Source organism: Homo sapiens, chromosome 10 (genome assembly GCF_000001405.40).
Source record: "Homo sapiens chromosome 10, GRCh38.p14 Primary Assembly".
Lineage (NCBI taxonomy): Eukaryota > Metazoa > Chordata > Mammalia > Primates > Hominidae > Homo > Homo sapiens.
Genome location: NC_000010.11, coordinates 70551784 through 70576472, shown reverse-complemented (window position 1 = coordinate 70576472; position 24689 = coordinate 70551784). Strand labels below are relative to the sequence as shown.

Genomic DNA, 24689 nt, shown 5'->3' with positions numbered 1-24689 from the left:
GTGTGGCTCTAATACCCACAAAAAGAGAGAGGGAAAGAGCCAGAGAAATAAAATCCTAAGCCCCTCAACTGACCAAATGGACCACCTCTTGGCCTAGGGGACCCCCGAGAAACCTTAAAAATGGAGTTCCCGGACATGATGGAACAGGAGGTTGGACAGGCCTCATTATGCCCCCTCCCCCCCTAACCATTAGGCTTTCTTCTCTAAGGGTTAAACAGAAACCACTGCTTCACGCTGGTACCAACCAACTGCCTAACACAGCCCCTCCCCTTTTGCAGCTTGACACAGCAACCGCTAAGCAGTCCCTCCTGATAAAAAAAAAAAAAAACCCTGGCCACAGAGTGGTTCTGGCCAGTCTCCAGAAGCTGCACCCAGAGGGCCTTCGTGTCCTCTGCTTCCCGTTTTAATGTAGAGGGCCTAACTGTAATATGTTTAAATGTTAAGTCTCCACCCCAAAGTGAATCTGGGACACGTGTTACATACATGTTACCCTACTACGAATGCCCTTGCCTCCCCTTTGTGAATATTCATTGCTGCTCCTATAACCTGTTGAATATGTATATCTGGACACCCTATTCAGCGTAAATCCCTGTCTTATTCTCCCCACCTTCGAAGTGTCTGTTTCTGGCTTCTGGCCAGAGGCTACGTTTCCCAGCCTGTCAGAATGACCACCCAGCAGGTTGCAACCCTTTATGAGAAATAAAGCTCTCCTTTCCAAATGTGTATGAACCTCATCTTTCCTCAGTAGACACAACAAGCCTGACACTGCAGGATAGCTCTGGGCAACTCTTGGTCAGACCAATGGGGAGGCTCCCAGCCTCGCTGCAGGATGGAGGGGCAGACACAGCCAGCTCTATATCCCTGCCCTGCTCAGTCAGCAGCCTGTGGGTGGAGTGTGCTGGATGGGGGAGCAAGGCCTTGGCACGAACACTGTGTTGGATCCAGAGGTGCAATTGCTGGAAGGTGGTCCAACTGTTCTCTCTGCAGCAGCAGCAGGTTGTCCTGAGGGGAGAAGTGAGTGGTGCACCCCTATGGAGGACACAGAGGGAGCTTCCAGGACTCCCCGGGCAGCCTCCTAGTCCCAGTCCCTGCTGCATTCCTGCCATGGTCCTCTGCTGGTCATATATATATATATATATATATATATACACACACACATATATATATATATACACACACATATATATATATATACACACACATATATATATACATATATATATACACATATATATACATATATATATACACATATATATACATATATATATATACATATATATATATATATACACATATATATATATATATATATATATATTTTTTTTTTTTTTTTTTTTGAGATAGAGTCTCTCTCTTTCACCCAGGCTGGAGTGCAGTGGCGCGATCTTGGCTCACTGCAACCTCTGCTGCCTCAGCCTCCCGAGTAGCTGGGATTACAGGTGCCTGGCACTAATTTTTATATTTTTAGTGGAGACAGGGTTTCACCATCTTGGCCAGGTTGATCTTGAACTCCTGACCTCATGATCCACCCACCTCAGCCTCTCAAATTGCTGGGATTACAGGTGTGAGCCACCGTACCATGGAGTCATATTTTTTACACTCTCCCTCTTTGCTTAAGCTAGCTGGGGCTGTTTTCTGAAATATGTCACCCAAAGGAGTCTAATTATTACCTGTACAAAGATTTGTGTTTGAAGACATTATTTGAAGTATTGTTGTAAGTTTTAACATTAAAAACCCCAATGCAAGTCTATATATCCTGTTAGAGGTTTGAATTACACAGGTGTATGCATTTGTAAAAACTCATCAAATGGGCTGGGCGCGGTGGCATACGCCTGTAATCCCAGCACTTTGGGAGGCTGAGCTGGATGGATTATTTGAGGTCAGGAGTTCAAGACCAGCCTGGCCAACATGGTGAAAACCCACCTCTACTGAAAATACAAAAATTGTTAAGTAAGATTGGCTAGGTCCAGGTTCATTCTGCCTCTGCACAGTGAATAAATCATGATGACATGGGTTTTGCAAAAGAGAAAGATTTGCAAGGGCAATACATGAGGAGGTGGGAGAACAGCTCTCAAAACCACCCCCACCCGACCCTTGAGGATAAGGCTTAAGGATATTTACAGGTAAGGGAAGTGGGATGATCTAAATCATGGGGACAGGTGATTGGCAGTGGGAAAAAAATGAAGTGACAGGTTCCTCCTGAGCAAGGGTAGTCAGGCTTCACGGCACTTCACAGGGCACATGCAACAAAAATGGTGGCATTTGCATGATCTGAGGGTGTTGTCGTCGGCCCTCTGACTTCAAAAGGCCACCCCTTGGGCACTTGGGCAGTCTAGGGTGAAGGATCGGGGTCTCAGCTAGTTTGAACTAGACAGGCGCTGGCCAAGTTCCTGAAAAACACTGAAGTGAATATTACCATGGTGACCTATGAATGTTATCTATAAAGTAGCCAGTGAAGGTTAAGTTCCAGTGTTCAGCGGTGAGGCCTTCAGCTACCACAGCCTTCAGCTTCATAGAAAAAGCTTGGGAGGGGGAGAATTAAAAAAGCAACCCAAAGCAAGCAGGGCAGGTAGACCTGATGGAATTAGCCCATTTTCAATGTTGTGTGTAAAGAACTTAGTGCAGGCCTCAGCACGCAGTCAGTGCGCAACAGACCCTGGCATCTGCCCTGCCCTCCTTTAGGCCAAGGTGGAGAGGGAGAAGTGCTTTTTCTCCTTTTCCCTCAGGCTACGTAGAGGCAAGAGGGGGAAGGATCAGTCTGCTATTGCCAAGGAAGGGACGCCACCCAGAGAAGGCAGTGACTGGCCAAGGTCCCCAGCAGGCTCTAGAATTAAAGTCACTCTGGAGCTTCCTGTCCCAAACCTGCTGTACTGGGCAATGCAAAGCAGGCAGGTTTTCTGGAAGCCAGGCTGTCTGCCCTAACCCAACCGAACACATTTATGGAAATTCCTGCTACACTCTCCCAGGGCCGATGTGCCAAGGGTTCTCCCGCTGTTGGCTTCCTCTGGGAAACCAAGTTAGTCCTTCCCAACGACTCTCCCTGGCCCACCAACCCCACCTCTGCTCTCATCTTTAGAGAATTCTGCATGGCTTCCCCCAAGAAATACTAAGAAATGCCTTCATGCCTCTTACTGGCTCCTCTAGTGCCAGAGGACACCCAAGCTGAGGTGCTGCATTCCGAGAGCCAGTGGTGCCCTCTGCCCCTGACCCCCTGCCATCACTCATGAGTAATGTCACTTCCATACCACTAACTCAGATACTCCTCAGATGGACTCTTCTGCTCCAGGGCTCCTAATAACATACTCTACAGAACAAGACAATTCTTGCAGTGAGTACCTGCTGTGTGTAAGGCCCAGCAATAGGAACTTCATGGCCATTAACTCTGATCCTTCCACTTACCCTACAAAATAAGCACTTTTTTCTTTTTCTTTTTTTTTTTTTTTTTTTTGAGATGGCATCTCACTCTGTCTCACAGGCTGGAGTGCAGTGGCGTGATCTCGGCTAGCTGCAACCTCCGCCTCCCAGGTTCAAGTGATTCTCCTGCCTCAATCTCCCGAGTAGCAAGGATTACAGGCACCCACCACCATGCCCAGTTAATTTTTGTAGTTTTAGTAGAGATGGGGTTTCACCATGTTATCCAGGCTGGTCTCGAACTCTTGACCTCAGGTGATTCACTCACCTCGGCCTCCCAAAGTGCTGGGATTACAGGCGTGAGCCACCACGTCCGGCCCAAAATAAGCATTTTAATCCCACTTACAATTGAGGACATTGTGTCTCAGAGAGGCAGTGTGATTTACCCAAGCTCTTTTGAACTGCTTCACTGTATGGATGGATGCTGAAACCACGCTTGCTGGCTGAGCAGAAAGGGGTGTGTGTAGCACACAGTACTAGGTGGCCAGAGAAGCAGGCGGGGATGTCACACAGCCAGGGACAGCACAGAGAGGAGAAAGGCCCAACCACCCACGGGGCTGCACGGGTCTCAGTGATACCTTTTAAAACCAGAGCCCAGGGAGTAGGAATGAGAACAGGGAGGGAGATAAAGATACTGGTTGAATTTTCACAACTAGTGGATGGTTACACTGTACTTGTGTGAATAAAAGACGAACAGCTTTTTGTAAGAGAAAACCAGTTACAATACATGCGTGCCAATTCTGCAGATACAATTTGAGGTTTCCGCACTGAACACCACAAGAAAGGACCAGGCAGGCGATGGCCGGTGGGCGGCTTCATTCTTTCTGTTCATCCAAAACCAGTTCTTGTGACAAGTAGAGAAACCAAAGGCCCTTTGTGGATGGGCCCTTCTCAGGGTCTGGCCAGATCTCAAGTCTGGCTAAAGGATGGGAGAGAGGGTGCAGAGATTAAGAAGAGCTCAGACCATCAGTGCTATATGGTTTCCGGGGTGCGGTGGTCCCACCCGACACCACAGGCCCCCTGGCTCCCCCTGGGTCCACAACATCACTGGTTCCTTGTTCTAGAAGCTCCAGAAGAGAGGCAAGTGGCGTCCTGGCTGGTTCTGGCCTATCACACCGCCACTGTTCTCCAAACCCTGCCCCACCCTAGCTCTCACGACACCTGGCGAAAATGATTTGTTCATTCTCTCTTGTCCTTGCAGTGCCACCAGCTCCTGGAAGGCAGGCTGTCCCCGTCCACAGCTCCCTGGTGCCTGGCATGGTGCCTGGTCTGTGTAGATGCCCAATTTTGCAGTGATCTGCTGCATCACTGCCCACAGCTGACATGCACAGACCTCCCCCTTGCACATGTCCCCTTATACACAGAACACTAAGGGCAGTCATCACGACACTAAGGGGTGCACGTCCCAGGTGGACCCAGCTAAGGCCCGCCTAGTCTGGGCAAACTGGTGTGACAGGACCCCCAGAAGATTGAGGGGCTTCCAGGAGAGAACATGTCTTAAGGGAGTGGGAGCCAGGCATATCAAGGCTGCTAGCCTGGGGTACCGGGTCTCCACCAGGGCAGCAGGGAAGACAGGGTGGAGGCTTAACCAGGGACCTGGCCAAATCCTTGGTTAAAAGTAGGCACAGACCCAAGGTCAAGTCCCGCCTGACACGGCACAGCCTGGGCACCTGAAATGGGGGTGGGGGTAGGGTCAGGGATGTCTGAAGTCCTGGAAGCAATGAGGATGCCACATGACAGTGACCACACATGTAGATCAATGGGGGACTCCTTCTGAGCACCCACAGGGCTTGGAGAGAGAGACTGGGCAAAGTCAGCTAAAACTGATTGTATACTCACAGGCACTGTCAGGCACTGTCCTAAAGGTTGCATGTATATTAACTCGTTTTTTAATATTATAATTCAGCAATATGTACTGGTATTTAAGAAAGAGACATAACAAAGAATGTATCAAAACATCACTAGTGGCCAGGCGCAGTGGCTGACACCTGTAATCCCAGCACTTTGGGAGGCCAAAGCAGGTGGATCACCTGAGGTCAGGAGTTTGAGACCAGTCTGGCCAACATGGCGAAACCTTGTCTCTATTAAAAATACAAAAATTAGCTGGGTGTGGTGATGCGTGCCTAAAATCCCAGCTGCTTGGGAGGCTGAGGCCGGAGAATCGCTTGAACCCAGGAGGTGGAGGTTGCAGCGAGCCAAGATCGCGCCACTGGACTCCAGCCTGGGCGACAGAAAAAGATTTCATCGAAAAAAAAAAAAAATCACTAGTTTAGATTAACACAGAGGAAAGATCAGACTAAATGGTACTTTCTTAAAATGAGCTGCTAAGTTGTATATGTTTACGGTGTACAAAAGGATGTCTTGAGGTATATATACGTTGTGAAGTGGCTAAGTCAAGATATTTAACATACACCTTACCTCACATACTTATCATTTGGTGACACATAGCTACCAAGTTACGAGAACACTTAAAATCTTCTCTCTGCAATTTTCAAATACACAACATTGTTATCAACTGTAGTAAGCATGATATACAATAGATCCCTTGAACTTACTCTAACCGAAATGCTGTGAACTTTGACCAACATCTCCCCAACCTCACCCCATTCCACCCCAGCCTCTGGTAACCACCATGTTACTCTGAGTTGGATTTTTTTAGACTCCACATATGAGATCATGTGATACTTGTCTTTTTGTGCCTGGCTTATTTCACTCAGGATAGTGTTCCCCAGGTTCACTCATGTTGTCACAAATGACAGGATTTTTTTTTTTTTTTTTTTTTTTGAGATGGAGTTTTGCTCCATGGCCCAGGCTGGAGTGCAGTGGCGTGATCTCAGCTCACTGCAACCTCCACATCCCAGGTTCAAGTGATTCTCCTGCCTCAGCCTCCCAAGTAGCTGGGATTACAGGCACCTACCACCATATCTGGCTAATTTTTGTATTTTAAGTAGAGACGGGGTTTCAGGTTTCACCATGTTGAGCAGGCTGGTCTCGAACTCCTGACCTCAAGTGATCCACTCACCTCGGCCTCCCAAAGTGCTGGGATTACAGGCGTGAGCCATTGCGCCTGGCCAGGATTTCCTTTTTAAAGGCTGAATAGTATCCCATTGTATACAGACCACATTTTCTTTATCCATTCATCCACTGATGAACACACTGATCCCATGTCTTGGCTACTGTGAATAATGCTGCAGTGAACATGGGGTGCAGACACCTCTCTGACACACGGATTCCATTTCCTTTGCATGTGTACCCAGGAGTGGGATGGCTGGATCATACACAGTCCTATTTTTGGTTTTCTGAGGACCCCCCACCCCAGTGTTTTCCAGAACGTGTATACTAACCGACAATACCACCAACAGGGTGCGAGGGTTTCCTGTCTCCACATCCTCGCCAGCACTTCTCTTCTGTCTCTTCCTGCAGCCATCCTAACAGGTGTGAGGTGGTTTCCATTGCCTTTCCCTGGTGATTAGTGATACCGGACATTTCTTTCATATGCCTGTGGGTCATTTGTGTGTGTTCTTTTGAGTTACTTGCTTTTTACTATTGTATTGTTTGGGTTTCCTATGGATTTGGGATACTAACCCCTTATCAGATGGATGGTTTGCAAATGCCGTCTCCTATTCGGTAGGCTCCCTAACTCTGCTGATTGCTCCTTTGCTGTGCTGGGTTCACTCATTTACCATGAGGGCTGAGATGCTGCTGACCAGCAGGAGCTACTGAAATGTGGGTCAGTGCCATTCATGTCATTGCTAAGCGTCCTCCCACAGGCTACAGCAGGCCCAGGGGAACTTGGGAACACACACAGGCACACCCACTCACTCCTGTGTGTCCCCACATCCCAGGGAGAGAATGGCAGAGCCACCCCCACCCCCACCCCCCTCCACCCCACCCCGGTGTACACAGCTCTACACTGGTGTCCAGAAGCCACACAGAGCATTCTTGCACCTAGAGAAGACAACTTCCATACCCTGCTGGGCTGGGAAAGAACCCCCGGGGCCTTCTCTCCTAGTCTGGGGAGAACACCAACCCTAGGGGCGGTGGGGGCTCTGGGTTCCATTCTGCCCACCCCAGCTGACCTCGGAACTACAACCTTGTTCCCCTAACCCTGCAAGCATGGGGGAAGAGGCCTGGAGTCAGTGCTGTCTCTACCCCACCCTCCCCACTGACTCTTTAAATGCCAGCACTCAACCAGGGGTGAGGTGTGTTCAATCAACCAGAGGCCCAAAGGGGTCAGGTGGGGCCCACAGGGGTTAGGGGAGAAAGTGGAGGCTGAGATCCAGGCTCCTTCACAGGCCCCCAATTCCACTTTGCTCTATACTGTTTCCCTAGATGCAGCAATCCTTCATATGTTAGTGAGAATTCGCTGGTTCCGTTGCTTTCTTCAAGGAGGAGCTCAGCCTGACATCCAGTGTAAGAGGGTGAGGCAAAACTGGGGATGCGTGTCTGCAAAAACCCGCCTGCTCTAGAGCTGGAAGTGCCAAGAACAGGTGCTCTCAACTCACTCTGCCTGCCCACCCTTACTCTGAAGGGGCAGGGACCTCAGCCTGTTGTACCAGTTCTAGAACGTCTGTCTGACACTAAAGACATATTAGCAGCCAGGTGCACTCACATTTAGCTGTTTTTAATGCTTAAAAGCTCTGTACAAAAAAAAAAAAAATCACAAATGAATCCTCACAACACCCCTGTGAGGTAGGTAGGCAAGTATTATTCTCCCATTTTACAGATGGGGAAACTGAGGCAGAGAGGTGATGTGATCAGCCAGTGGTCCCAACACAGCTGAAAGTCAGAGCCAACCATGAGAACACAAAGGATCCCTCCCCATTCAGTCCCATCTCTGACTCCGCATCTAGACCTTGTCTGCAAAGAAATTAAAACGTCTTAATTCATGCAAAAATAAAAACAATAAACCTGAAAAGGTAGTGAACAGACACACAGTAGTTCTGCAAAAGAATTCAGCCAAGGGGGTCAAATATTTTCCAATACTGGATAAATGGGAACAACTTCGGCCTCCTCCCCTTTTCAAATATCATGACCAATGACACATCCTTTTTTTTTTTTCCTGCAGAAGTACACGAGCCTAACCAAAGACAGGCTTTCCTGGTCCCAGTGAGCCAAGCAAGGTGGACAGCCTCCTCACTGTTCAGCTCCTGGGTTTCAGCAAGCACCAGTCCCCAGCTGGAAGAGCTGCAAGGCTCAACGCAAACATGGCACTTCTCTGCCACCTGTTCCCAGCAGCCTTCCCGCTGTGTGGAAACAGTGGATCCCAGCAGCCTCTAACTCAGCAGGGTCTGGCCTTTTCTGCTCCCACCGGAAGGCAGGCTCAAAGATGCTCAGCAAGGATGGCCTGGAACCCAGGTGATCCCCTCCCACCACCCTCAGTGCACCCTTGCACACCTCACTGTCCATGAGGACCACCCCAGCAACCACCCTCAGCTAGCACTCCTTGGGGCTCCTGCTGCAGCAGGTGGGGGCACCAGGCCATCCTGGGCTGCCGGGACAGAGAGAGATGCCGGGGGACCTGCAGCTCCAGGCCTTGGCTTCCTCTGTGCCTCCTGCCCAGGTTCCCAGACAAGTGGAGCAGGCCTCTTCCTCTGTGCTGCGTTCGCCCCCTGGAAGCTCTTTCCTCCCCATGAGAGGGGCTCCCTGAAGTCTCCAGCTCCTTGAGAAACCTCCACCATCCTGCCAGCCCCACCAGGCTGGGTAGGTTGTCATTCCTGAAGTCTCCCAGGTCGGAGATGGGGGCATGAGAGTCCAGAAAACTGGGTGAAGCTGCCTTTCACATAATAGATCTATCCAGAACACTGTCCCCTCCACCCACCTCAGGCTGCCAGACGCCCGAGGGCAGTGCTTGGGCAGCAACAAGGGGAGCGGCAATGGCAGAGCAGCAGGAGTAAGGAAGTGGGGAGCTACCAGTGGCCGGGTCTGCTCTGTGCCAGGGGCTGCCAGGCCAATCTGAGAGAGGGGAGAAGAGGACAGAGAGATCCACAGTGTTTGGCAACTGGGGGAGTGAGCCCCTTGGAGGCTGAACGCCGGCCTGTCTGCAAGGTACACACAGCAGTGTGCACCTTGTGAGCACTCCAGTGAGTGCTCCTCCCTGGAGGTCAGCCACACACCTTGGTGGTTTGCAAGGGATGGCTGTGCTGTCTCCCTGTCCTATAAAAAGTTCTTTCTAAAAAGGCTCCCAACTCCGCTCAGTCTCTCCAGGAAGTGGGGGAATCATTTCAAGGCCAGCACCCCTCAGGGCCGCTCCCAGCCAAGAGCACCTCAGACACCCCAGGCCTGCGTGGGGCCCTGTGGGTGGGGGGACAGGGAGTAAGGCCCCCTACAGCAAGTCCTCGGGGGCAGAGGGCTCGAGGCTGCAGCTCTGCTCCTGCCACCGGTAGCGCAGCCTGGAGAAGGGCTGGTCCTCCCCGCTCTCCAGCTCGGGGAAGCCCAGCTCGTTAAGGATCTCGTAGATGCCAGCCTTCGATGCCACCTGGGAGGAGAGCAGAGGCAGGAGCAGTGTTTCAGGGGAGGGAGGGTGCCACTAAGGCCACTGAGTTCTGAAGATGAGTCTGTGGCCTGTGAACTTGGTGACCTGAACAAGTTTGCACCTTGACTTCTGTTAACTTCTCTGAGCGTCAGTTTCCTCATAGCAAGGAAAAGACTCTACCTCACAGGACTGTCTCAAGGAGGACTCTACACATACAGAAAGTACTGGGCAGACAGTGAGTGCTCCACACAGATAGCAGCGAGGGAGGCCAGGCACACACTGGGCCCTGTGCAGCTCGATGCTCCCACGTGGACGCCCAGGAGCAGGGCCTAAAGGGAGGGCTGGAGGAAGAACGTGGATGCAGGGGCAGGTAAGGCTATGGCCTCTGCCCCAGGTGGGCTAGCTGGAGGCACCCCTGGACACTCAGCCCTGCCGCCCAGCAGCCCAGACCCTGGCACCAGACTCAAACCATCCACAACCAGTCCCCTTCTCTCTCCACCATCCTGGGGAAGGGGAGGGTGCAGCCTCCACTTAGAACAAAGGAATGGGTCCGTCCCGCTCTGGGGCCTCCCTCACTGCTACCCTCCACTCATCCGCAGGAGAGAGGGGCTGAGGTCCCGAGGCTGGAACCCACACTTCTGCCTGGACCGGCAGCCCTCCTTTCTTGACCTCCCCCAGCCCCAGTGGGGGATTCAGCTGGGGAGGGGATCAAGCTTCCTCTCGGCCCCAGGCTCCCCCAACTTCTGCTCTCCAAGCAGAACCCAAGCAGGAAGTGTCCTCATCCCCTTCCACCTCCACCCCTCCCCAGGGGCTCGCAGAGGAAGCTGAGCCCAGGCCTGCTCAAGAAGGCACCCCGACATGGCCTTGGTGTGACCCCATCAGGTCTCCCGACTCAACACACATCACATGCACCGGGGGCATTTCAAATGCTTCTCCACCTGACGTCCCAAGGCCCACCCTCAAAGCCTGCCACTCTGCCTCCACTCCTTCATAGCCCTGAGTCCACTTCACACCTGCCTCAGCCCCCATACCCTTCCTGTGCCCACTCTGGCCAGGTCACCGGCCCCTGCTCTCCACCCACCCACTTCCCAGGAGCTAATTCCAGCCTCCAGTCCAGATTAGAACTGCCAGGATCTGCTGGTGAGGTCTGGAGGGGCCAGCTTCCTGGCAGAGGAGTAATTACAGGCCGCTTTGCCAAGGAGGGAAGGAGGCCTCTCTTCTGACCTAGAGGTGCCAAGGTGGCAGCTCTGCCTCTAAAACAACTGAGTGCAAGAAGAGCCAGGAGGCCAAACAGAGAGGATCCAGGAGGCCGGACAGCAAGGGAGGTGTCTTAGGTCAGGATACAGTGGGCTCTGGAGCCAATCAATCAGCCCTAATGCCAACCTTGAACAAGTCACCCACCCTCTCTGTGCTCAGTCTCTGCCTCTGTAAAATGGGAGAGCGACAATCACAGTGTGCTAGACCTGCCTAGTACAGGCTCCAGCAGATGGCACTGTATGTCTCCCCAAGTCCCCAACGCAGCCTTCAGGGCTGGCACCCACAGGATCCACATCACCTCCATGTTAGTGCTAAGGCCAGCAGCTGTGGAGGAGTTGGCTCACTGGTCCAAGGTCACGGCTGGAGGGAGAAAGGGGCAGGGCCACTACAGCCTCACCCTAGGCCCTCGCGGAGCACAGGTGAGGGCTGACCACAATTGTGGGCATGAAGTGCCCAGGTGGGCCCAGAGCTGTCATGCACGCAAGGGTGGCTGTGGTGACAGGGTCCCACCCCCAGAGGCTGCCCTGCTCTGTCCCTCACCACTCTGTCCCCTCCCTCCTCCTCATTCATTTGTTCATTCATCAAACTCATCAACTGCCTGCCAGGCACAGACAAACTGCTCGGGACCCAAAGTCAGATTAGACAAACTCTTGGCCAAACAGAAGCCTCCTGCAGAAAGGGGGATGGGGGCTCTTCCCGCCTGTCACGGGGTCCCCGCAGGCCATGTACAGGCACTGAGTGGCTGTGACCCAGCTCCATCTGCAGGAGCCATCGCCCCGGCCCCTCTCGGCCTCAGCCTCCCCTCACCTCCTGCATCCAGGTGCTGAAGGGCCTCTGCCAGGAGTCGGCCTTCTCCAGGTGGAGGTACGCGTTGAAGAGAATCAGGCAGACATAGCGCTCCAAGTACTGCAGGCTCCGCAGCTGCAGCCTCCGCATTTCTTGCGCCTCTTTCGCTGCCTTCGCCTGGAGGACAGGACAGGGTGGGGTCAGTGTGGGGGGATCCGTGTCCCCCAACACACAAACATGCCACCCTGCTGCCCTGAGTGCCAGGGCAGGGTGATCCAGCCTCAGAGCTGAGGGCGTTGCTTCCACCTGGGTTACAGGACAAGCAATGGAGCAAGCCAGGGCCGCGGGTCAGGAGCCCACTTCCTACCTGAGAGGCATGGCAAGCCTCCTGGCCTCCCTGAGCATCCCTCTCCTCGCCATGGAATCATAACCACTGTCCTGTTCTGAGGGGTGAACAGGGACAGCAGGAGAGCTCATTGTAGATACCCTGCATGGCGCCTGAGGTATGCTGAGGCCCTCCCACACGGCAGGACCGATGCCCAGGGTGGGAGGACCCTTACTGCCACTTCCTGCCAACCCCCAATCCTCCAAGGATCAGAGGAAAGGCTTCACTCCTCTCTCTGCTGCCCCTCAGGCCTCCCTCGGCGAGGGTATGAGGGCTCTGACCAGTGGCCTGGGAGGCGCCGATGGCAGGGGTCATCAAGGCTACATTCTCGAGGCTCTGCCGTGTGGACGCACATCAATCTCCTCCCCTCAATCCACCCCTACACTGGGCCTACTGGGTGGGTGAGTTCATCCTCCAGCCTTGAAGGGGAGAAACCCCATCTTGGCCTCTGAGCCCAAAGGTCCCTAAGTGACTTCCAAAAGTGAAAGGGGTACACATAAAGCCCTCAGATCCCCCAGCCCTCACCCTCTCCAAGGCTGGGGACAGGTAACAGAGAAAGGCCACCTGGCCAAGGAGCAGCAAGAGAGGAAGTGGCTCAGGAGAGGGGTTGGGAGAGGATGTGTGGGTGCAGGGGAGGCTGTGGGGCATCGATCTTTTAAGCAAGCAAGCCTGAGCATCTTCATGGGAAATGGCACCAGGCCACGTGCTGGGGCGGAGAGGGACAGCAAAGCCAATTAAAGAGAGATTTCCCAGAGAGTGTGGGAGTGCCGCTGGGCCGTGGAGGCCTGGTGGATTTGCACAGACAGAACGTGGACCAGATGGGGGAAACAGAGGTGAGGCTGCTGCCTGGAGTTTGGGGGCTGAGAGGGGCTGGCCTGGCTGGAGGGAGGATGAGGAGGGACAAGACGGGGAGCTGGGCTGGATCTATTATGGAAGCCACCTGTCACCTAGAAAGTTTATCCCAGGTCAGCGGTTCACAACCTTGCTGTCCATGAGAAACATGAGGAACTTTAAAATGCAGATGCCTGGGCCCCACTTAGAAAAATCCAATGAGAATCTCAGCAGGGTGTAGCCTGGGCATCGGGATTGTCAAAATCCCTCTGGGTGACTCTCTATAGCTAAGGTTACACGTTATGGCTTCAGTACTGGGGAGCCACTGAGGGTTTGAGAGTATGAGTGACTTGTTAACAGAAGATGTATGGGAGATTTGTGCTCAGGAGGAAGGGAACTTAAAGAGGGTCCCTTCTAGGTTCTCCATGATTTGGGGAGTCAGGGGACAGGCCACAGGCCAGGGGATAAGGCCCAGGACATGCACAGCCAGGCTCTCCTACAGGGCACCCTGCCCACCCTGCTCCTTCCACCCCTCACAGACATGTCACCCACCCAGCACCCTCCCCTGCACGCTATGGAAGGGGAGTTTGGAAAGCGAAGGCCACACCTCGCCTCACACCCATCCCCTTCTCACCCCATCCCCCAAACCCACAGCAGCTCTCCCTGCTCCAGGAAGAGGACGTGGCACAGGGGTCATCCCTCGGGCACCAGGAACATCTGTGCGAGGGCACAGCAAGCCCCAGCCTCTGGGAGCCGGAAAGGGCTGCTCTCCTCACAGCTGGGCTGCAGCTGGAAGCCCTTCCGCACAGGAACACAACATCAGCCTACATGCATCTCCTCCTTAGCCCCAGGGTGGGCTCTGCGGCCTCAGACGTGGCACAGTCCACAGTCCCAGGAATCAGAGCTGGAGTAGCCTGAGCAGGGCCTGTGGTCCCCAACCTCCCACTTCTACCTCCACGGCCTTTGCTGTCTTTGCCTCCAGGGTCGCAGAGTAGATGGTAACTTGCAAAGCCTGCCCACCCATCCATCCAGAAGGAGCTCTGGGGCCCTGGAGATGGGGACAGGGGTGAAAGGTGGACAGCAGGCTGTGCCCAAGAGGGGCGAGGGGACCAGAGCCAGCACTGTGACTCCCTGGGAGACATGAGTCCCATGAGCTGGGTTCAGGTCCTGGTTCTGCCATTTAAACTCACAGGCCCCAGGTTTATGGAAGTAGGATTTCTCAGCAAAGTGAGGGATGAGAAGGCACGTGTGCACCACAGAAAGCTCACTAATCCGCTCATCCATCCAGCAGGGAGGGACCACTACACCGTGCCCATCACCCAAGCCACATACTGGGGATGCAAAGATGAACTACTCACAGGCCCTGCCCTCCGTGCCTGGAGGGGGATGGAAATAATTTCAAAGCAGCCACAGCAGCTGCAGGCTCAAGGAAGAGGGGACATCTAGGGTGGGTGAGGTCTACAGAGAGGAGGCAGAATGGTGCCTTGAGTGGCGGAGGGCATGAAAGGCAGGAAGGGGGCCCGAGAATGAGGTGAGTCCCCAGGGAACCCCCTCCCAGGGTGGGCAGAGTGGGAGGAGCTCATGGCGGTAGGGGAGGGGTAAAGGTGAGAGGCCAGGCCTGGAGTGGGTATGGAGGCCAAGCCAAGGCCTGGCCCTGCAGACAGAGGCCAGTGAGGGTTTCTGGGGATTTGAGGGCGGGAATGGCCCATGGCTGCCACAGAAGTGCTGGGGCCGCTGGGGGCAGGATTTGCTTAGAGACTGGGGAGTGAACAACAACAACAAAGATTTTACCTAAATATAAACCGCAGCCAATACAACGCAACCCCACCTATCTGCAAGGATGGACGGTCTGCGCCACAATGCAACTGGCCGCTCTCCACCCCACCCCTTAGGCTGCTTCTATCCTTCCCCAAGCTCCATCCGAAAGCCTGGAGCCTATTTCAAAACATTTTCTTAGAAGGAAGAAAAGGAAATCACCCACAGTTCCACCGGGCAAGAGCCATTCTAAACTGCTTTCAATTAAAGAGCTCAGAGGCAATGTGCTATGGGCGTGAAACGCCCTCAGCTCTGGCTCTGTGCCATGGACACGACCGCACCAGCACGATCCTCTCCCACAGCCGTGGGGATGGAGGCTGCCTGTTGCAAGAGACACGGGTAAGGATTAGGTCTGAGAAAGATTCTCTGGGGTAAGAGGTGGAGTGGCTCCTTCTGAGCTCTACTGGCAAAGGTAGAATTATCTCCAAATTCAGACCACTGTGTACAGGTGACGCCTGACCCCCGCCCCCAGAAGGTTCCGAGGGCACATCTTGCTGGATCACAGGTCTGTGATTTGAGACAATTGCCCATCTTCCTATCAAGGCCCTGGTTTCCTTAACACCGTCCCCCATGTTAGCACACTGCCTGGGGAGGACGGGTCAGCCACCTCCTGTTGATAAAAATAGTGGAGCTGTTTATATACGGCCTGCCAGGCTGTCATTAGCTGTGGTGGAGCCGGACAAGGCTTCCTCATCCATTGGACTGAGCCCTAAAATAGAAGAGGGCCAGGAGAGGTGGCCGGGGCACTGGGTACTTCGGGCATCTCAAGCCTCCGGCCTGGCTGGCATCGAGGCAGCCCAGCAGTGCCAGCAGGGGCTCTCATGAAGCTCTGCTCTTTGCCGGGCCACCAGGGAGAGGCCCACTGAGGCAGGGCTGGGGAGCCTCCCCAGGCTACCACACAAGCAGAACACGTGCGTCAGGGTCTACTGAGTGCCACCTGCGGGCCGAGCGCGTCACATCCTGACCTGAGGATTAGACCCTAACACATTCTCCTAGCAACCCAGTGAAGGAGGCGGGACTGTCCCATTTTGCAGATGAGGTTCAGCAAGGTTGTTTTTGGTTTGTTTGTTTATTTGTTTGTTTAGCACATGCTTAGTTAACCCTTCAAAGAGTAGGCATCCTGCCCAAACTCAGAGTTCTGAGCTGGGAGATGAGCCCCAAGACCCCAGCTCTTCCTACCACCCTCCCCCACTTGGCCACAGTCAAGCCCACCACTCCCTGCTCACTCTTGTCTCTGTACCTTCACCCATGCTGTTCCTCCTGCCTGGTCGGGTTCCCTCCAGGCCTATGACAAGCCCCCACTCTCCCAAAGTGCAAGCCTGCTCCGGGCCTTCCAGCCCAACAGCCCTGCCCTTCTTAGCCTCCTCTGCCCTCAGGCTGAACCTTTCAATTAAACATTGCACTAAATTCCATCTTAACAGATTCTAATTGCTTCATCAAGGCAGGGGCTGTCTCAAAACAACCATAAACCCAGGGGCGGGCACCAGCCAATAACCAGGTTTACACCTCCCCCTTCTCCCCACCGCCCTGGGGGTCTGCAGAGAACTTGGTATGTGGCAGGCGCTCAGTGAGCACTCCTCCCCAGGCCCTCTTGTCCTGGCTCACAGCTTCTAGTATCATCTTGAATCCAGATCCTAGACAGACTCTGAGGATTGCAGACTGGACATGCCAGCAGCTCAAGTGCTCCGCATGGATAAGGGTCAGGCAGCCCAAACCCACAAAGCATGTCCCAGTGAACCTCCTGAGCACACCCCAAACCTGCTGCGTCCATAAGCCTGCCCATCTCAGTGGCAACTCCAACCTCCCAGGTACACAGGCCAGAACCCGGGACTCCTCCTTCACTTCGCCCTTCTCAACCCCACGGCCAGTCAGTCAGGAAACCTCACTGGCTCCACTTCGAAACACCTCCAGAGGCTGACCGCCTCTCACCACCCTGGTCCCAGACACCCTTGACTCAGCGACAGCCCCTGGCTGGCCCCCTGCCACCTCTCCCGCCCCCTGCTGTCTATTCTCAACACAGCACCTAAATGACTGTACAAACAGTAAGCGTCTGCCCAAAACCCTGTGATTTCTTCCTTTGCACTCAGAGTAGAAGCCAAAGTCCCAGCAATCCCAGAAAAGGCCCCACAGTCTGCCTCCTGTCCCCATAACCTCTACCCTCCTCTCCTGCCCTCCAGTTCCCTAGCTCTGCTCCTCAAACACACAGCTCCCACCTCGGGGACTGCACGCAAGCCACACCCTCTGTCTGAACCATTCTTCCCCCGGATGCCAGCACAGCTCCTCCTTCAGGTCTGTTCAACACCACCTTCTCATGGAGTCCCTGCCTAACCACCCCTCACTGCAAGCCCTCATACCGCCCCGTCGGCACCTCATAACTGTGGAGTCCTAATTAGGGAAAGGGGTAAGGCTGGCGGGACCAGGAGAAAGCAAAGAGAGAAAGCAGATAAGCTCCAAGTCTGCCTTTCTTCATGGTCCAGGGACACGGCCCTCCTACGCAAATGACACAATCTTCCAGTGCCCAGCTATCACCAGACCCTCGGCTGATAGAAAAATGCAACTTAGCTCACTGCAACCTCGGCATTATCAGTACTGCACAAAGCCCTCTTCAGCAAACAGCACAAGCACTGTCCTAAAAAATCCCCAGCCAGCCTCTGTCTCCTTGCAACCAGCACTTCTCTTGCTAACTTGCCCACTGCACCCTTGCAATGTATTTTCATACTTTCTCTAAAAATCTGCCTTTCTTTACCTTTTACATACTTTCTCTTAAAACGTGCCTTTCTGTACCTTCTTTAGTAAGAAGAATTTTAGCAAATTCTTACAAGAATTTGCTAAAATTCTTCTTACTCCCCGTGTAATACCAGCCTCAGATAGTTGCAACATGTGACACTTAGAGGCTCCGCTTCTCCCAACGGATACCCCGCTGTCCAACAGACCACGGCCCTGATGTGTGTGCTGCCTGCCGCAGATCTCCGTCACTAGAGTGCAGACTCCATGAGGACGGGAGCTTTTGCCCTTTGTATGGCATCTCCAGCACCTAGCGCAGTGCACTTAGTAGGTGTGTAATAACCGTTTGTCAAATCAATGAATGACAAACATGTGCACCTTGCATTTTCATTCATTCCAGCTTCACAGGACACCTCGGTTGCCTGTGCCAACCCCTTTGCCTTCCAGAAAGGGAGGCTGAGGTCAAAGAGGTGAAATGACCTGCCATGGTCACATGGAGAGTAGGCAACAGAGCCCAAGCAGGAACCCAGGCCTCCTGTCCACCGAGGAGGCCACATGCTTGAAGACCTGGACTCAGCTGAGGCTCAGGAGAAGACAGCCCCAGAGGAGAAATAAGAAGAGCCAGCAACCCAGGCAACAGAGCAAGATCCTGTCTCTACCAAAACAACAACAAAAAAGAGGCAGGTGTGGTGGCACATGCCTGTAGCCCCAGTCATTCAGGCCTGGGGGCTGAGGTGGGAGGATGACTTGAGCCCAAGAGGCAGAGGTTACAGTCAGTGAACCATGACTGCGCCACTGCACTGCAGCCTGGGTGACAGAGCAAGACTCTGTCTCTAAAAAAAAAAAAAAAAAAAAGGAAGAGCCAACAAGGCCAGGTTCAGGGTCTTCATCAAGCCAAGCCAGACAGCAACACTCCCCACCCTGCCACCCCCTGCCATTACTGAAGACTCCTTAGTATCCCCTCGCTCACCCACTCAACAGAAAGAAACCTGGCCTGGTGACCTCTGCCTCCAGCTGAGGTGGGGAGGCAAGTGACAGTCCCCAAAGATGGCCAGTGGCTGAAGGGCAGGTTCCAGGGCTGGCAGCCCACCCTCTTCCCACGTGCAGCACCAGCCGCTGCGTGTGGTGGGTCCCCACCGAGTCCCTGCAAACTGCATCCTCAGGCCAGCCCAGCGGTGGGGCCCCAGTACAGGACGCTTTTCTGTACCTAACCCCTGGAAGGACAAAATTGCCCTCAATCCCTACCAGTAACCCATTTTCCAAAGGTGACATCATATTTTGTTAAGTAATTTCAAAGTGTGAAGGGACTTGACCTGGTGCCGTGGGCCACTCTGCATGCTGTGAGTTCAACAGACGCTGTTCAGCAGCACCTCTAGGCCAGGCACAGAGATTCAATGCTGAGAGGACACAGTCTCGTTCCTCAAGAGGCCCACTGTGTCCGCATGTAGCCCATAGAGCCTGCCTGGCAGCCCAGCCACCCTGCACACCCCACACCCCATCCCACCTGCCATGGGCCCCAGACTGGTCCTCACCACCATCCCTCAAAGCACACAGAGCAAGGGTAACAACTCCAGGTGACAGATGGAAAAACAGGGGTCCAGCAGGCCAAAGTGACTTGCCCAAGGTTCCACAGGGAGTTACTGGCAGAGCCAGGGCTGCAGCCAGGGCTTCCAACCCCTGACCCAGGGCTCTTTTGCTTGCTGCAGAAGAACGCTCTGTCCTGGAAGACTAATAGTTAATAATAAAGGTAGAGTCAGGTTTTCCTATTTATTTATGCAATGATTTACTCAACCTTCCCTCCATCCACTCACTAGAAAGACATTTGTGGAGCCCCTACTTGTGCCAGGCAGGGTCCTGGAGTCAGGGTTTCAGAGGTGGATCTTGCAGCAGAAACAAGGACCTCTGGTAACAACCACAATCGGGACAATGAGAGCAGCAGGCACCAAGTCAGGGTCTCGGGATTACCCAGGGGGTGAAGGAGGCGGTGGTGCTGGAGTTGAGATTAATCCCCTCAAGCCCATCAACAATTCTAAGCCCAGTGGTGCACACTTAGAAACCATAGCTGCTCAATGGATGTTTGTTGTTGAATAAAGCAGGAAAGTCCTCCTGGAGAATGGAAATACCAGCTTGCCCTACAATGGGAAGGAAGAGAGATGAGCGGTCTCAGCAGCCAGGTATGGTGGCTCACACCTGTAATCCCAGCACTTTGGGAGGCTGAGGCGAGAGGATGACTTGAGCCCAGTAGTTTGAGGCCAGCCTGGGCACCACAGCAAAGACCCTGTCTCTACAGAAAAATAAAAAAATTAGCCAGGCCTGGTGGCGCATCTCTGTAGTGCTGCCTACTCTGGAGGCCGAGGCAGGAGAATCACCTGAACCTAGGAGGTTGAGGCTACAGTGAGGTATGATTGCACCACTGCACTCCAGCCTGGGCAACAGAGCAAGACCCCATCTCAAAAAGAGAGACAGAGAGACAGAGACAGAGAGAGAGAGAGAGAGAGAGAGAGAGGTCTCGGCTACTGAGAACATGTGCCCTACACACACAAAAGCACACGGGTACTCACATGCACACTCACACACACACTCCGTTCTGGAAGCCGTTCTAGGCTGGGTTCAAGTGAAAGAGCCTAGTAAGCAGCCTTTGCTTGGGTTCTATTTTATGTGACAGCTCATAGCACTGCAGGGCTGCCCTAATTGCTCCAGCCCTGCTCCCAAGACACATTACTTATTGGAACCATGTCTCTGGGGAACAACTTTGGCAGCCAGGGTTTTTGTTTTGTTTTGTTTTGAGATGGAGTCTCACTCTGTCACCCAGGCTGGAGTGCAGTGGTGCGATCTCAGCTCACTGCAAGCTCCGCCTCCCGGGTTCACGCCATTCTCCTGCCTCAGCCTCCCAAGTAGCTGGGACTACAGGTGACCGCCACCTCGCGCGGCTAATTTTTTATATTTTTAGTATAGAAGCGGTTTCACCGTGTTAGCAAGGATGGTCTCGATCTCCTGACCTAGTGATCCGCCCGCCTCAGCCTCCCAAGGTGTTGGGATTACAGGCGGGAGCCACTGCGCCCGGCCAACAGCCAGAGTTTTCAAGAGGCTGAGAAAGACCCTGCCTGGGGCTCAGAGCCAGAGCTCTCTGGTCTTTTTTCTTAAGAAATGACCTCAGCCCTTGGGGCACGGAGCTGGTCTCTCTGACCTCCTGGAAGCTCCTTTGGTCGCAGGACCAACTCTGCACCAACCCAGGCAGTCACACAGTAGCGGCTGGCAGCTTCCCTGCCAACGCTTCCCTTCTCTGCCACCACAAGATTGCCCCCGGGTCGTGGCTGCCACAGCGGCAGAAAAGGGATGCAAGTCGAGGAGTTGGGAACCAGCTTCTGGTCCAGCCTCCAGCCAATCACAAAACTTCATTAGGCCTCAGTTTCTTCTCAGTCAAATGGGTCTAATAAAATTTGTCCTGTTCTCACCATCTGTCTGAGGACCACAAAAGACAAAAGGTGAGTTCTTAGAAAACTCAAATAGCAACCAGGTACAGTGGCTCACACCTGTAATCCCAGCACTGTGGGAGGCCGAGGCTCGTGGATCACTTGAGTCCAGGAGTTTGAGACCAGCCTGGGAAACATGGCAAAACCCCGGCTCTAGTAAAAATACAAAAATTAGCCGGGAGTGGTGGTGGCAGGCACCTGTAATCCCAGATACTTGGGAGGCTGAGGTAGGAAAATCACTTGAACCTGGGAGGCAGAAATTGCAGTGAGCCAAGGTTGTGCCACTGCACTCCAGCCTGGGCTACGGAGCAAGGCTCTGTCTCAAAGAAAGGGGAGGGGAGGAGGGGGAGGGGAGGGGGGAGGAGGGGGAGGGGAGGGGGAGGAGGGGGAGGGGAGGAGAGGGGAGGGGAGGCTCAAAAAGCACTGCTCAAAGTTAAAGCACTACAGTCTTTATACAATAAATCTCGCTTTGAGACCAGAGGATGTTTCCTTCTCCCTGTGTGGCTCCCTTCACCTCAGCTGTTCTTCAAACTCTTCTGAAAGGAAAACAGGAGACACAGGCTGTTTTAAAAACCCAACACTAAGAATTAACGTCACCAGGCAAAGCCCAGGAAAAGTGTCGCTGGCATTAATGATTCTAGCAGGGCTTCCTCCAGGTGCCCTGACTTTGGTTTTTGTCATAAATATTTTCCCTTTCCAAGCCCAAAAGGAAACAACGAAGTCTGCTGCGGGTGTCACCGCCCTGGGCTGGCGGCCATGTTGGATTCTCCTCAGCCAGGGCCCGGCATTCTAACTTCCGTCCAAAGCGCTGGAAGTGGCTTAGTTCAATGGGTTTTCTTTCTTTTTTCCTTTTGAGGCAGTTTGTTTGTTTATTTGTTTGTTTTGAGATGGAGTCTCACTCTGTCACCCAGGCTAGAGTGCAGCAGCATGATCTCGGCTTACTGCAACCTCTGCCTCCAGGGTTCAAGTGATTCTCCTGCCTCAGCCTCCCGAGTAGCTGGGATTACAGGTGTGCGCCACCACGCTCGGCTAATTTTTGTATTTTTTGTAGAGACAGGGTTTCACCATGTTGGCCAGGCTGGTCTTGAACTCCCGACCTCAGGTGATCCTCCCACCTTGGCCTCCCAAAGTGCTGGGATTACAGGCATGAGCCAGAGTGCATGGCCTTGAGGCAGTTCTTAAAATGCCCCAAGCATCTGGCCCCTTCACATGCAGGAGGCATCCAAGCCTTGACTCAACCTTGCAGACACTGGAGAACAGAGGGGCACCGCCGTGGGCTGCAGCCCCGTGAAGTCGGGCTGCTTGAGACAGGCATAGAGAGAAGGGTCGAGGCTGTTCCCTCAGGGAAGGTCTGTCCCAGTGGAAAATATGTCCCCAGGCTTGGCTCCACTACCTCCCAGCTGCACCCACAACCTGTGTCTGGGATGTGTTCTTGTCCTTGTCCTTCTCCTGGTCAGTCTGCGACTTCCTCAAAGGCAAGGACCATGGCTTCCAGTTCTGTTTCCCTGCAGCAGGGCTCAAGGTGGGCAGGGAGAGGTGAAATGGTGCCTCCGCCCGCTTGAGAGGCCATGTGGCATGGCAGAGAGGCTCAATCTGGGAGTCAGGGGCCGGGTCTTGTCCCCCTCCTAAATCTGCCAGCTGTGTGTTCTTGGGCAAGCTCAGTGCCTCCCTCCTCAAATGTAAAACCGGAACCAACATTAGAACACCCTTTATCACACACAGGCAAAGTGAGGACGGTGGTCGTAAAAATGTCTATCAGCCCAGCATGGGCACCTCTCGGACTACTTCCAAGTTGGCTAAGGAGATGTCAGGACATGTGTGGCCGGCACTGGGTCTCTAGTGACTCCCTGTCCCTCCGCATGAGCCTCTACCCCATCCCACTCCCTGCTGGCTCTCACTCCAGTCACCCAGACTCTCCTCACAGACTCCAGCCACATCCAAATCTGGAGGAACATTAGGCCTTGCTGAAGCCAACATCTTTCCCTCATTTTTAGACAAGCATCTCCCAAACCAACCCATCCACTGGAGACAGGGAAATCAAAGGAAACAGCAAACATGGAACCTGCCTGTCTGTCCCCAACACACCTGAGGGGAAGTCTCTCGTTCTGGAAGTATCGCAGTTAATTAATGTAGATGGAATGAGAGAGCCAGCAGATCACCATTCTGCAAGCTGGCGATGCACACTGCTGCAAGCCAGTCATAATAGGAGAGACGACAGGATCTTCCAGCCCCAACAGCAGCATACGGCACCCCCAGTAACCATTCCGGCCACACTGAGCCGGAATCTTATGAAGCCTTGGATGCGAACCATTTCCAGGAAGCACAGGCCAACTTAAACCTAGGGGTGCAACTAGGAAAATTAGCTCCAGGAAGCCCAGGAAGACAACCAGTTTACCTCACAAATATATTTCAGGGGGGAAAAGGAGAACTGTATGAGATTAAAAGAGACTTAGGGCCACGTCAACCAAATGCAACATGTGGATCTTGTTTGGATCCTGATCCAGCTGCAAAAAGCCTGTGAGATTAGTGGAAACATCTAAACATTGACCAGATGTTTGCTGGTAAGTAGCGACTGTCCATTGTTTAAGAGGCAATCATGGCGGTGTGACTGCCTTCTTTAAAAGATCCCCCTTCTTTAGAGGTACGTACTGAAATATGCACAGAAGAAGTAACATGAGGACTGCGATGTGCTTTAAAATAATTCAGTGAGAGCTCGGAGGGCTTGAGATAAAATAAGACTGGCTGAGATGGGTACTTACTGCAGCTGGGAGGTGGGCACATGAGGGCTGAGGAAATTATGCTCTCTGCTTTGAAATTTTCTGTTTGAAACATTCCAAAATACTTAAAAATATAAGTTCCTAAGTTTTGACTCATTCAGTAATTCTACTTCTAAGTATCAGCTTTACAAAAATAATCCACACAACGGAAAAGCCACATGCGCTACGAGGTCCACATCACCCCCCATCCCAGAAGACGACAGGAAAGAATGTGAAGGGCCGCGCGTGCTACACACAGCAACAGCATGAGAAACAGTACTTCCACTCACTGCATGGAATGTGAACACGGAATGCGATGATGTAAGGGCTCCTCAGCAAACACGACAAAATGCCCAGAAGCCGGAGCTGTTGCTTAATTTTGCCTCTCTCTGCCCTACGAGAACGTCAGCTCTGCGCACCTTTCATCACCGGTCCCTACTCAGTGTCCGCCCAGGGCCCAGCACTGAGGCAGCACATGCTGGCTGGGCACATGTTGAAATGCATAAACACAGCCTAGGTGAGTGGCGAGAGACGTCCCGTGGGCCTGCCACAATCACAGCTTCCAGAGAGCTGCATGCAAGTGCACGAAGCCCAGAAGGAAACGGGCAAAAGTAAAATCATCGCTGAGTTGGCAGGATTCTGGGAGACTGGGAGACTCTTTGCTCAACCTGAGCCACCTAAGCTTTTGGTACTTACTGTCCTTATTCTTGCTGTGCAACCTCAGGGTGCAGATGAAGATTCATGTACATTCTGAGCCCTCCTCTCTGATCCAC

General features: G+C 53.3%; 1 protein-coding gene across 8 annotated transcripts in view, besides 3 other annotated features; it reads right to left on the bottom strand.

The window, feature by feature from the left end:
• Positions 1-130: an enhancer, noted in NCBI's record as "active region_3510". NCBI's record gives its function as "activates an Ori minimal core promoter by ATAC-STARR-seq in GM12878 lymphoblastoid cells {active_cell/tissue: GM12878}" and the evidence as "EXISTENCE:reporter gene assay evidence [ECO:0000049][PMID:35858748]".
• PALD1 (phosphatase domain containing paladin 1) overlaps positions 8023-24689 on the bottom strand; it is a 109966-nt gene continuing 93299 nt past the window's right edge. For all 8 annotated transcript variants that reach the window (XM_011539638.3, XM_047425057.1, XM_047425055.1 and 5 more), the window contains 2 exons: positions 11954-12109; positions 8023-9892 (listed from right to left, as the gene is read on the bottom strand). In XM_011539638.3, the coding sequence (XP_011537940.1) occupies positions 9740-9892; positions 11954-12109 (309 nt within the window). In that variant the 3' untranslated portion in view covers positions 8023-9739. The remainder of the gene's footprint in view (positions 9893-11953; positions 12110-24689) is intronic.
• Positions 15407-16350: an enhancer, noted in NCBI's record as "H3K27ac-H3K4me1 hESC enhancer chr10:72319879-72320822 (GRCh37/hg19 assembly coordinates)". NCBI's record gives its function as "activates a minimal SCP1, AML or CMV promoter by ChIP-STARR-seq in primed H9 embryonic stem cells {active_cell/tissue: H9 hESC(primed)}" and the evidence as "EXISTENCE:reporter gene assay evidence [ECO:0000049][PMID:30033119]".
• Positions 16351-17294: an enhancer, noted in NCBI's record as "H3K27ac-H3K4me1 hESC enhancer chr10:72318935-72319878 (GRCh37/hg19 assembly coordinates)". NCBI's record gives its function as "activates a minimal SCP1, AML or CMV promoter by ChIP-STARR-seq in naive H9 embryonic stem cells {active_cell/tissue: H9 hESC(naive)}" and the evidence as "EXISTENCE:reporter gene assay evidence [ECO:0000049][PMID:30033119]".